This window comes from Homo sapiens, chromosome 5, assembly GCF_000001405.40.
Source record: "Homo sapiens chromosome 5, GRCh38.p14 Primary Assembly".
Classification (NCBI taxonomy): Eukaryota; Metazoa; Chordata; class Mammalia; order Primates; family Hominidae; genus Homo; species Homo sapiens.
The window spans coordinates 34,609,942-34,623,083 of NC_000005.10; the positions used below are offsets into that span (position 1 = coordinate 34,609,942).

At 42.1% G+C, this 13,142-nt stretch overlaps 2 annotated features.

The window, feature by feature from the left end:
* Positions 10,303–10,597: an enhancer, noted in NCBI's record as "tiled region #6534; HepG2 Activating non-DNase unmatched - State 24:Quies". NCBI's record gives its function as "activates a minimal TATA promoter and a strong SV40 promoter by Sharpr-MPRA in HepG2 cells {active_cell/tissue: HepG2}" and the evidence as "EXISTENCE:reporter gene assay evidence [ECO:0000049][PMID:27701403]".
* Positions 11,004–11,364: a silencer, noted in NCBI's record as "fragment chr5:34621050-34621410 (GRCh37/hg19 assembly coordinates)". NCBI's record gives its function as "represses an EF-1alpha promoter that drives an FKBP-Casp9 reporter gene in an ReSE screen in both phorbol 12-myristate 13-acetate-treated (for megakaryocytic differentiation) and untreated K562 erythroleukemia cells {active_cell/tissue: K562 | K562(+PMA)}" and the evidence as "EXISTENCE:reporter gene assay evidence [ECO:0000049][PMID:32094911]".

The window sequence follows — 13,142 nt, forward strand, 5'->3', positions numbered from 1 at the left end:
CAGAGTGAGTTCTTCACCATGCACGCCACATCTTAACAACCATTCACTGTGGCAGAATTCTTTTTCAATGCCCCTTCACATTCTTTTCATTCCACAAGCGAGAGAGACATTAGGGGTGATAGTTTGAGGTTAACACCTCCCTTTAAACATCTTCTGGGTTCTGATTAGCAAATGATATGGTTTGGATCTGTGTCCCACCCAAATCTCATGTCGAATTCTATTCCCTAATGTTGGAGGTGGGGCCCGGTGGGAGATGATTGGATCGTGAGGGTGGATATCTCCCTTTGGTGCTGTTCTTGTGATGGTGAGTGAGTGTATTATTGTGAGGTCTGGTTGTTTAAAAGTGTGTGACACCTCTCCCTCTCTCCCTCATCCTCTTGCTCCTGCCATGTAAGACACCTGCTCCCGCTGTGCCTTCCACCATGAGTCAAAGCTCCCTGAGGCCTATGCAGAAGAGATGCTGCCAAACTTCCTGTACAGGCTGCAGAGCAATGAGCCAATTAAACCTCTTTTCTTCACAAATTACCCAGTCTTGGGTATTTCTTTATAGCAGTGCAAAAAATACAGACTAACACAGTGAGTTTAGGGCTACCAATTTCCTTTTTGACAAGCAGGGTGAATGCCAGCTGAAAACATCTGTAAATGGCAGAAGCAGAGAGAGAAAGAGGTGACACTAGTGATGAGGGGCTTCTTAATGTTCAACAAAGCAACACTGAAAATTCAGAACAACATAGCTTGAACCTACATATCCCTGGTGTGTTCTATACAGAGCACAAAGCTGTTCTTTGAGCTGGGTTTTGCAAGAAAGAGCTAGGGATCCTATTCAAGGGAGGCAGTCATTTAGGATAAGCTGAAACTATATAGTGGGCAGTTTCCTTTTTAAGCATGAGAAGAAAAGGCTTCCTTCATTTTAATCATGCAGCAAACCTCAGTGAAATGTGACAGGCATGGAGAGAAATTAGACCATTGAGAGAAAAATGGAAATAAACATGGTTTGGTTGGGGGGAGGTGAAAAAAACAAGGGAGAAAAAGCTAAGCAAAAAATCAAAACATAAAAGGAAATGTGTTGGAGTTGTTACAAAGGAAACCAAAAAGAGATGTGTACATAAGCTCTTAAGGCAAAGAAAAGTATGTAGGCAAGGGGTTGGAAAAAGAAAACAGTGGTGTGTAGACGAGAAAAGGAAAGAAGACACAAGATGAAAGCAAGAAAACAATATATACTATGGTTAATGGTAAATGGTTCATTTATATTTAATACATTTTTAAAAGGATAAGCCATCGTACCATGGGAATTCTAACACTGCCCACTGTAAAGGTTATATAATCCATTGCACTTTTGTGTAGGAAAATAAACCACAGACCCAAGCCACTAGTCCCTGAAAATGACTGCCAGCATGTCAGTGGGTAATGGTTCTTCCGGACATTAGAATGTATTCTTGGAGCATCATCTACAACCCACAGGGGAGATCTGTCTTTAAAGATGTTGTACATCACACATCCATTTAATAGGAAGCCTCTGTGCGATGGAAAATAATTTCTCAGAATTTTGATTCTTCTCTATATGTATAACCTCTATGCCACATAATAAAATCTTTGCTGATTTTTAAAAAAATGTGAAGGCTTCTATGATTGACTGAGCCTCTAAATTCCAGCTGTGCTTCTAGTAGGTTTATTTGTGTTTCCCTCTTACTGATTTTTTCCAGGAGCCCAGGTGCGGGCCTGTTTTATGGAGGAGGATTATTTATGGATTCCCTAAAGAGAAGTCTGATACACAAATAGATGTGGGGATTATGAGGCTCAGTGTTTGTAAACATCAAAAAGATTTAAGCTGAAATTTTAATTTACGGAAGAAGCTGGAGTGTGAGGAATTTACTTTTGAATGAGCTGACATGACATATGCTTCTCTATGTGACAAAAAAGAAAAATCTTAAGGGTAGCTGGAAGAGGAGAGGGATAGGGAACCCAAACAAGCCAATAATTCCTACTGATTGAGTAAGGAGCAAAAAAAAAAAAAAAAAAAAAAAAAAGGCTTGTTTTTTATTTTCAAATTACAGGACTTGGTTTTAGTGCAATTTTTATAAACCCTGATTCAGCACTATGCGATCACGCTGTTACATATAACCATAAGGTGCAATTAGAGGCTAATAGAACCTCTGGGCAACCTCTTTCTTGGTCGTAATCCCTTTAGGATAATTTTCGCCCCACAGCGGTTGACTAGACTACAAATTATAAAAAACTACATCCATTTGCACCCCATTTTATTGACCACTTGGGGTTCTAGAAACTCCCATGACAGTCAGGAAATTGCCTCTTCTAGGTTTCAATTGCAACCTCTCATCCACCCACAAAACCAAGTCCCCATAAGATTCTAAGAACGCTGCCCAAACTCATAAACGCTGCTGACAGGGATGGAGATTGGTTCAAGATTTCTGTGAGGCCACTGGACAAGTATCTCTCACTACATTCCTATCTTTTACTCAGAAAATTCACTTCTAGAAAATTATTCTAAAGCAATAGTTACGGATAATTTTGAAGGTAGCTCCACATCTGTTCGTCACAGCACCATTTAAAATAGCAAGAAATGATAATCAGTCTAAATATCAAACCATACGAGTTAGTTCGGTAAGCTATAAACTTTATTAAAATTATCTGACAGACTGTACGTGATGTAATAGAACATGTAATGACATGGGACCACGTTCTCAAAATCCTAAATGAAAGAAGCAGCAACTTTGTGATACCATATAGAGTGAAATAGATCATAATCTTGTTTTGTTTTTCTCTAAGGTATAGTCATATGCTGCATAATGATGTTTCTGCCAACTATGGACCTCATATATGATGATAGTCCCGTAAGATTAAACTGGGGCTGCAAATTCCTATCACCTAGTGGCGTTGCAATCATGATAATGTCCTAGCACAAAGCATTACTCATGTGTTTGTGGCAATGCTGGTACGAACCCACTGTGCTGCCAGTTCTATAAAAGTCTAACACATACAATTGTGTACAGCACATAATACTTGATGATAAACTACTATGTTACAGTTTATGTATTTACTATTCTACACTTTTTTTTTTTTTTTTTTTTTGAGACGGAGTCTCGCTCTGTCGCCCAGGCTGCAGTGCAGCGTTGCGATCTCGGCTCACCGCAAGCTCCGTCTCCCGGGTTCACGCCATTCTCCTGCCTCAGCCTCCCGAGTAGCTGGGACTACAGGCACCCGCCACCATGCCCGGCTAATTTTTTTGTATTTTTAGTGGAGACGGAGTTTCAGCATGTTAGCCAGGATGGTCTTGATCTCCTGACCTCATGATCCGCCCACCTCAGCCTCCCAAAGTGCTGGGATTACAGGCAAGAGTCACCGTGCCCAGCCTATTCTACACTTTTAATCATTATTTTATTATTTTATGTATTTATTTATTTGTTTTTGAGATGGAGTTTCACTCTGTTACCCAAGTTGGAGTGCATTGATGGGATCTTGGCTCACTGCAAACTCAGCCTCCCAGGTTCAAGCGATTCTTCTGCCTCAGCTTTCTGAGTAGTTCAGATTACAGGCGCCCACCACCATGCCCAGCTAATTTTATATTTTTAGTAGAGACAGGGTTTCACCATGTTGGCCAGGCTGGTCTTGAATTCCTGACCTCAAGTGATCCTTCCGCCTCGGCCTCCCAAAGTGCTGGGATTACAGGCGTGAGCCACCACACATGGCCTAATCATTATTTTAGAGTGTACTGCTTCTATTTTTTTTTTAAGTTAACTGTGAAACTGCCTCAAGCAGGTCTTTCAGGAGTGTTCCAGAAGAAGGCATTGTTATCAGAGGAGATGGCAGCTCCATGCGTGTTACTGGCCCGAAGACCTTCCAGTGGGGCAAGATGTGGAGGTGGAAGACAGTCATATCGATGATCCTGACCCCTGTGTAGGTGTAGGCTAATGTGGGTGTTTGTGTTTTACCTTTTAACAAAAAAAAAAGTTTGAAAAGTAAAAAATAAAATTTTCAAATAGAAGAAAGCTTATAGAACATGGATATAACAAAAGAAAATATTTCTGTACAGCTGTGCGATGTGTGTTTTTGTTTTCGTTTTTGTGTTCTTGTTTTTGTTTTTTTGAGACAGTCTTGCTCTGTCACCCAGGCTGGAGTTCAGTGGCATGATCTCAGCTCACTGCAACCTCTGCCTCCCGGGTTCAAGTGACTCTCCTGCCTCAGCCTCCCAAGTAGCTGGGATTACAGGCACCCACCAATACACCTGGCTAATCTTTGTATTTTTAGTAGAGACGAGGTTTCACAATGTTAGCCACACTGGTCTCAAACTCCTTACCTCAAGTTATCACCCGCCTCAGCCTCCCAAAGTGCTGGGATTACAGGCGTGAGCCACTGCACCCGGCCAGGAAAGAAACTATTTTTAATAAACTTTAGTGTAGCCTAAGTGTACAGTGTTTATAAAGTCTACAGTAGTGTTTAGTAATGTCCTAGGCCTTCCCATTCACTCACTTCTCATTCACTCACTCACTCACTCACTCACCCAGAGCAACTTCCAGTCCTGCAAGCTCCATTCATGGTAAGTGTCACCTACAAGTGTACCATTTTTAATTTTTGGATTTTGTGTTGTTTGTTTGTTTTTGTTTTTGTTTTGTTTTTGAGACAAGGTCTCTACTCTGTTGGCCAGATTGGAGTGCAGTGGTGCAATCACAGCTCACTGTAGCCTCAACCTCCTGGGCTCAAGAGATCCTTCCACCTCAGCCTCCCAAGTAGGCAGAAACACAGGCATGTACCACCATGCCTGGCTAATTTTTTTTTTTTTTTTTTTTTAGAGACAAGTTCTCCCTATGTTGCCCAGACTGGTCTCAAACTCCTGGGTTCAAGCAATCCTCCCACCTCAGCCTCCAAAAAGGCTGAAACTACAGGTGTGAAACACTGCACCCAGCTTCATTGTTTATCTTTTATACTGTATTTTTACTGTGCCTTTTCTATGTTTAGATATACAAGTACTTACCACTGTGTTACCATTGCCTTCAGTACAGCAGCAGCTGTACAGCTTTGTAGCCTGGGAGCAATAGGCTATACCATATAGTCTGGGTGTTTAGTCAACTGTACCATCTAGGCATGAGTAAGTACACTCTGTGATGTTCGCACAAAGATGAAATCACCTAATGGCACATTTCTTAGAATGTATCCCCATCATTAGGTAATGCATGACTCTTCATATATGTGTATATAAATATATATGTTCATTAAAACATTAACAGTGATCATCTCTAGGGAGTAGGACCATGAGTGATTTCTAAATTTTTTTCTGCTTATCAGTAATGAAATGTGTTTCTTGAATGTAATTTATAATGAGTAAAAAGATTAACAATTTTAAAATGAAAATGCTTTCTAAAATAAAAGGGCAAAAAAATCCCAAAGTTTGGATATCGATTGTTGGATATTGACCGTTTCCTGTCTGCCTGTGCAGCACTCTCAATCAAGAAACTACAGTTTGCATTCCTGAGGACATATCTTCCTGGCATTTAGAGTGGGGCATCAGGCCTCGCTGGCTTCAACTAAGAGAGAACCCCTCTGCCAGGTGGTGGACAGCATCCTCTGTTGCTCACACACAATGAGGCTTTAAGTCCACTAGGTCCTGCTCCCATGCTTTTTTGGATCTGTTAGCCTCATATTCACCTATCCCCAGGCTTTTTGGGGAAACCTAGAATCTGGTAGCATTCTGACTTGGCGGGATCACTGTCTCTGAAGCTGATACGTTAAGCCACCAAGTGGGACCAGCCACATAATTTTAAGGGATCAGGTGTTAAATGGAAACGTGGGCCCCTTTGTCAAAACTTACTGAGAATTTCAAGATGATGAGAGCAGAGCATTAATCAGGTGCAGGCCTTTCTGAGCATGTGGGCTTTTTCTACTGCGCAGGTAGCACGCCTATGAAGCCACCCTGGCACCAGCCTCCTTCTTATGTCCTATCAAGTATGTTCAACTATAAAATGCAAACAAGTTAGTTTATTCGTGACCCTAATCAAGAGAGGCAGTTGAAATGGGGCCAAGACGAGTGTCAGGTAGACAGGACTTATCTTCTACCATCCCAGGATAATGATGCCATTATGGCCACATTGTTCCAGAGTGTGTCTGTGTCCATTTATCCTCCTGGTACCCAGAGGGAGGAGAGGAGGAAGGGAGGAAGGGAGAGAGGGAGGGAGACTGCTGGGTGACCAGGGCAGAGGAAAGGAAAACTTTGCAACTATCAAATCATGCTCTTTTCTGCCCTCTACCCCACTAGAATGGCCAGTTGTGGGTCTCACACATCTTCGAAATAAAAGAAATAAACTTCCCATTATTTAGTAGCCTACTATCCAATGGGAGTATTATCTTGGCCAATTTGTTAACAAGTCAAATTAGAAATTTGTTACTAAGACGTTTTATTTTATTTTATTTTATTTTATTTTATTTTTTGAGGGTCTTGCTTTGTCACCCAGGCTGGAGTGCAGTGGCATGATTTGGGCTCACAGCAAGCTCCACCTCCTGGGTTCAAGTGATTCAAGCCTGGCTCATTTTCGTATTTTTTGTAGAGACAGGGTTTCATTATGTCACCCAGGCTGGTCTCGAACTCCTGAGCTCAAGCGATCCACCCACCTCGGCCTCCCAAAGTGTGGGGACTACAGGCATGAGCCACTGTGCCTGGTGGTTACCAAGACTCTGGTGGCAATTAAAGCTCAAACATTTATTATGCATTTATGCAGCGAACAAAATATCACATGTACTGCATAAATATGTACAAATATTATGTATCAATAAAAATAAAACAAAAATGAAAAAAGCAGTATGTAATTAGCACTTTCTCTTGTTCCAGTTTAAATGTTTCAGAAAATTCTAACAAAAAGATCACATGGTGAGTGGCAGAGCTTGTGCTGCTGGCACTGCAGAGCCTGAAAGTGTAATTGTGGGTCTTTGTTTCTGAAGGGCCAGTGAGTGGTCTGGGACATGCCACTTAATTGATCTGTGTCTCAGTCTCCTCAGTTGTAAGCAAAGATAACAATATTCACAGTATTATTAGGAGAACAAGATAAAATAATATGAATTAAGAACTTTGCAAATGGTCTCTTTTTAAAGCCTATACATAAAAGTATTAATGAGCTATTACCTTAAATAATAGCTGCTGGGACATGCTGGGAAATGAGCAGGTGCTAAATATATAGCCTGGTTTTTTTCTACAAGAAAATAGTTTGCTTTCCTGTATCTAGATTCACATTGTACACTGCACAAAATGTTTATTTAAAAAAGAAAATAACATCCCTTGTATTCTTCAGCCAAAGGTATGTGACCATCTTTTGTTCTGCAAATGTAACAAGCCTAAAAATACCTTCCTGTTAAGTATCATTATAAGAAACCATAGGCTAGGGAAAAGATTGCTGCTCATAGTTGTAGCTCATTTATTTCAAGTGCTGTTTTATGTTTCAAACTACACTACACCAGAAGGCTTCAGACGTAACCTTGGAATATGACTTAACTCATACTTAATCTGATTCTCACAGATACTTTTCCTGAGTACACACCTAGATAACACACACTCAGCCTCTGTGCACAAATAATTCCTGGATCATTTAGGGGTATCCAAGGTAGTATCAAAAGACACAGGCTGTGCTACCATCAACATTTTGAAACCTGGGAAAGAAACAACTAAATCTGTCCATGATGAGGCTACACAGGTAAACTGAAACATGGAGATCCTCTGCATGAGCGGTTCATAAAAATGCTAGTTATGGGCCGAGCACAGGGCTCATGCCTGTAATCCTAGCACTTAGGGAGGCTGAGGAAGGAGGATCACTTGAGATCAGGAATTCGAGACCAGCCTGGCCAACATGGTGAAACCTTGTCTCTACTAAAAATACAAAATTGGCAGGCATGATGGTGGGCACCTGTAATCCCAGCTACTTGGGAGGCTGAGGCATGAGAATTGTTTGAACCCGGGAAGCAAAGGTTGCAGTGAGCCAAGATCACACCACTGCACTCCAGCCTGGGTGACAGAGTGAAACTCCATCTCAAAAAAGAAAAAGTTTGGGGGCTGGGCGCGGTGGCTCACGCCTATAATCCCAGCACTTTGGGAGGCTGAGGCAGCCAGATCACGAGGTCAGGAGCACCCCAAATACCTGAGGGCGGTCAAGTGGGACACACTCTGAACTGGTTTTCTCCTCTGCAAAATGAGGGTCATTTATCTAAGAGCTCCACAGGTGTAAAAATTAAATGAGATCAGGAATTCACACTTCATAATTCTGTAAACTGTAAATATAAGGTATAGAGTGATTGAGGAAGGAAAAGAGTCTCATATTTGAAGGCTGAAATAGCATGAGATGAAGAAACTTTGAGCCAGTTTGGATAATCTGAAGGGGTGTGTGTGTGTGTGTGTGTGTGTTTACCTGTGAAAATTTCACAAGACATTTACAGAAGTTAACTGGCCCATTCAAACCTCCATTAAAAAACATACTTCTTTCTGAAGAAAAAAAAGAAAAAGATAAAAGCAATTGCATCAGATGAATAAAAGCATTTAAATTCCTTTTAAGGTGAACTATGTTTCTAGAATTTAGTGTTTCTAGTAATAAATATCAGAGGGACATATTTTGGAATTCTAGGTTGATGTAATATCCTGCCTTAAGAACTAAAAGAGAGCTCAAAGAAAGGCGAGTAAACTTGAACCACACTTGGAGTCAGTTATCTTAAAAAAAATCAGAAAATTTGTGAACAGAGATTCAAAATATGAGTTGCTATAAGTGACTTGGCTGAATAGTAAGGTATAGATGCTACAACCAGACTTTCAAAAAGGCAACTATTCATAGCAATATAATTTCCATGGTTTCATGTTGATCATTTGGTGCTGGGAAATTCTCATGGTGTGTTAGATCCTGTTTAGAACACATTCCTCTTATGAAAGCTGGTACGAATTTACAGAGGGGATTTTCAAATAACAGGGCTGGAAATGAGGGGACTTCCCAAAAGGCATGGGTTTAGAGTCGAGCCGTTTGGGAAATGGAGCAAGCTTTTGTTAAGTTCTGAAAGATGACAAAGGGCTAAATAATTTTAGGATTTCAGTTGTTTGACAAATATGCATTAACTACCTACTGCATGTTGGCACTGGGCTAAGGGCACAGAGCTGATCAAAACAAAGTCCCTCACTGGGCTCAGTGGCTCACATCTATAATCCCAGCACTTTGGTTGGCTGAGGCGGCCAGATCTCTTGAGGTCAGGAGTTCAAGACCAGCCTGGCCAACATGGAGAAACCCCATCTCTACTAAAAATACAAAAATTAGCCAGCCATGGTGGCACATGCCCACAGTCCCTGCTACTCAGGAGGCTGAGGCAGGAGAATCGCTTGAACCCGGGAGGCAGAGGTTGCAGCGAGCCAAGATGGCACTCCAGCCTGGGCAACAGAGCAAGACTCTGTCTCAAAAAAAAAACAAAAAATAGGCCAGACACGGTGGCTCACGCTTGTAATCCCAGCACTTTGGGAGGCCAAGGCGGGCGGATCGCAAGGTCAGGAGTTCAAGAACAGCCTGGCCAACACAGTGAAATCCCATCTCTACTAAAAATACAAAAATTAACTGGGAGTGGTAGCGGGCACCTGTAATCCCAGCTACTAGGGAGGTTGAGGCAGAAGAATTGCTTGAACCCAGAAGGCGGAGATTGCAGTGAGCCAAGATCGCACCACTGCACTCCAGACTGGGCGACAGAGCTAGACTCTGTCAAAAAAAAAAAAGTCCTTGTCCTCATGACATTCCAACTGTTACAGGAGACAGAACAATAAGCCAGAAAAAAAAAAAGAAGAAACAAATGAGAGAACTGCAATTATTAAAAAGCGCTGAGAAGAAATGTTCGGGGAATGTGGTGGAGGGTGATGGGAGAGGAATTTGCCGCACTGGATGGGAAGGATTTTCGGAAGAGGTAACATAGGAGCTGGAACCTGAGGGTAAAAATGGTGAAAACCCAGGGAATTCTATTTGGGCAGAGGCAACAGCGAGTGGCAAGGTCCTAAGGAGGGGAGGAGAGAAGGTGTGTTCCAGGAAGAGAGAGGAGAGAACTCTGGTTGGAGCCCAGAGGGCAGGGAAGAGGCTGCTGGGAGATGAGGTTGGAGGGGCAGTCACAGCCAGCACTCACAGGGCCTTGAAGCCTTAGATGAGGAGTTTGGGTTTGATTTCCGAGCACGATTGCCAGCCATTGAAGGGCCTAAGACAGGACATTGATTTCTGGTGTTCAAAGATGACTTTGGCTTTGGGTGGTTGGGCAGGGAAGGTGAGCACAGAGAAGAGGGGAAGGAAAGAGACAGGTTGAGGGTTACAGCAGTAGCCCAAGTGAAAATGCAAATGAACAGCAGAGGCCATTTAGGTGTCAGCCATATGGCCACCGGAAATCTGCTCTGTGCTGAAGCCATTAGCCTGTTTGAATCTCTCGTGCTCTGTACTGGCCGCCCAGCCTGTGACTCAAAGACTCCACTGCAGGAATACCCAACCTTTTCCTGACAATTTCCCAGAAACTGTGTCATGTTGGGAGTGTGTATCAAGAAGAGGCTGGCCAGTGATTGCTAAGAAAAGCCGTAAATGGGAATAATGGACAAAGTGTGGCTACAGTTTCAGGATTTTTCCAGCGCAAAAAATTCTAGAAACCCAGGGAGTGGAGCATGGTGGAAACCCCAGGCTGGAGATCCTCAGTGTCAGGTTCTGAGGTCAACGTGTAGATCAGAACCAACATGAGGGGCCTCTGCACAGTGTCTTGGGGTGGAGGGCGTGAGTGGGGGTGAACAATGGCAGGATCTAGAAATGCAGATAATTTGAATCCACCCGGAAGTGACTGCGTCTCTAACATTACCTTCATTTTTCCTTTGTAATTAACTTTAATTTATTTTTACTGGTTTGTAGACTACCCAGAGACACTGTGGGAAGATTTGTCAGATAGAATTCTAAAATTCTCATTCATTTCTTTTTATTTTTTATTTTGTAGAGACAAGGGTTTGCTTTGTTGCCCAAGCAGGTCTTGAACTCCTGGCCTCAAGTGATCTTCCTGCCTCTGCCTCCTAAAGTACTGGGATTACAGGCATAAGCCACTGCACCTGGCCTCATTTCTGTTTTTTTTGTTTTGTTTTGTTTTGTTTTGTTTTTTTGAGACAGAGTCTTACTCTGTCGCTCAGGCTGGAGTGCAGTGGCACCATCTCAGTTCGCTGCAATGTCTGCCTTCTAGGTTCAAGTGATTCTCCTGCCTCAGCCTCCAGAGTAGCTGAAATTACAGGCACCTGTCACCATGCCCGGCTGATTTTTGTAATTTTAGTAGAGACAAGGTTTCACCATGTTGGCCAGGCTGGTCTCAAACTTCTGACCTGAAGTGATCCGCCCACCTCGGCCTTCCAAAGTGCTGGGATTACAGGCATAAGCCACTGCACCCAGCCTCATTTCTGTATTTTCAATATACTTTACCTAAAGCTTATTTCACTGTAGGCTGGCAAGTTTCCTGGACAACATAGCATGAGAAAAGAATGTAAGTTTTGGAGTCAGAGAGGAATTTGCCCAAAGTCTGGCTCAGCCGTATTCTAGCTCTATTGTTTTGGTCAAGTCATTCGAATTCTTTCAGCCTCAGTTTCCACATCTGTGTAATGGGAGTCATAAGGATTATAAATAATAGTTGTAAAGTGCCTGGCTCCTACTAGACACCTGATAAATATCAGAATTATAATCATAGTGCCAAGGAAACATTACTTTCTCATATGAACTAGGGGACTTATACAAAATAAAAGAATGCCCTTTTCCACATCTGCAGGTTGTATCAAGTCCTGATATACACAAGTGGTCACACAAAGGAGTTCAAGGTTAAAGAATGAGGAGACTGAGCACCAACCCTTCCCTGGGTCCCTGCCGTTGGCACAACTCACAGCACTGCTAACAAAGGCTCAGGAACAACATCCTCATCACACCCATTCATCATTTTTCACCTTCCTTTTTGAGGTTAGGGATGGAAACTATTAGAGTTAGGAAAATGACTGTAATATTTTCCCCCAGTCATGATATTCTATCAATATGAAAGTTCCCAGAATATTCAACAGCCTCAGAGCTCACCAGGGTGGTAAGCCTAAACTTATTTGCTTTTAAAACATAAATGAAGTTGGTTCTGTAAATGTAACTTCTCACTGAGCCCAGAAATGAAAAATTCCAGCTTGTCACTGATCTCTTACAAAACTTGGAAGGAGCAATCTCCTTTCGTAGGCAGGATTCATATAAAACAGCCCAACTCAGTTCTTGTTTCTTTGTTTGCTCCATGTTTGGTTATAATTAAGTGTTTCATTCTTGAGGTTTCTTATCCACAGAGCTTCCCTGTAGAAGAGTTACCAGAGAATTATTTCTGCCTTTGCAAAGCAGGGAAGAGGTTCCCCCACCCACCTCTGTCTGAGCATTAAATCCCAGACACCAGCAGTTGGACTGAGCCCCACTTTCCAATCCTTTGATATTCCTTCCAATATTTTAGGGTGCAAGTCACCAAAACCAGAAAATCTTTATTGTAATTTTTTAAATTGCTGTTTGTTTAATTGATACCGACAACTAGTATTTCCTTCTTTAACTTTTCTATTTTAGGTTAGACCATGGAAGTTAAAGCAATGTGTGGAGGAAGAGTGTTGTGAGAAAAGAGAATATTAGAAGTAACTTTTATTTTTGGAGATTTTGAAAATAAATAGAGGGAAATGAGATAACCTCATGAAGGAAAGTAAGACTTAAGATCTGGAAGAGATTGAGTAGTTTCCTCATGTAAGGAAACCATAAACATGAAAGGTATCATGGTGACTTGAGTTGGGTTTTGAGAATGAGAAACTTGCTTTCCTCTCGGGCCTCCCCCACAAGTTGGGGAAGCCCACCTGCATTTTCAGGATGCTGGTCCCATGCCCAACCCAAGCATGTAAAATGGAAGAAATGAGCCCAAAGGGGAAGATTGGAAGCCCCAAAATGATCCAGGCTTTTCTCACAACTTAACTTGGTACATCGTGGCCCCAAATGAGAGCATAAAGTGAACCCAGACAACCATTTAAGTGGTAGACCTTGAAAAGAGCATGCTGGCTCCAGATTTTCTCACAGCAGCCTGCAGTTCTTCCCAAGGCTCTTTTCTGTGAGTTAGCTCATTCGAACTTC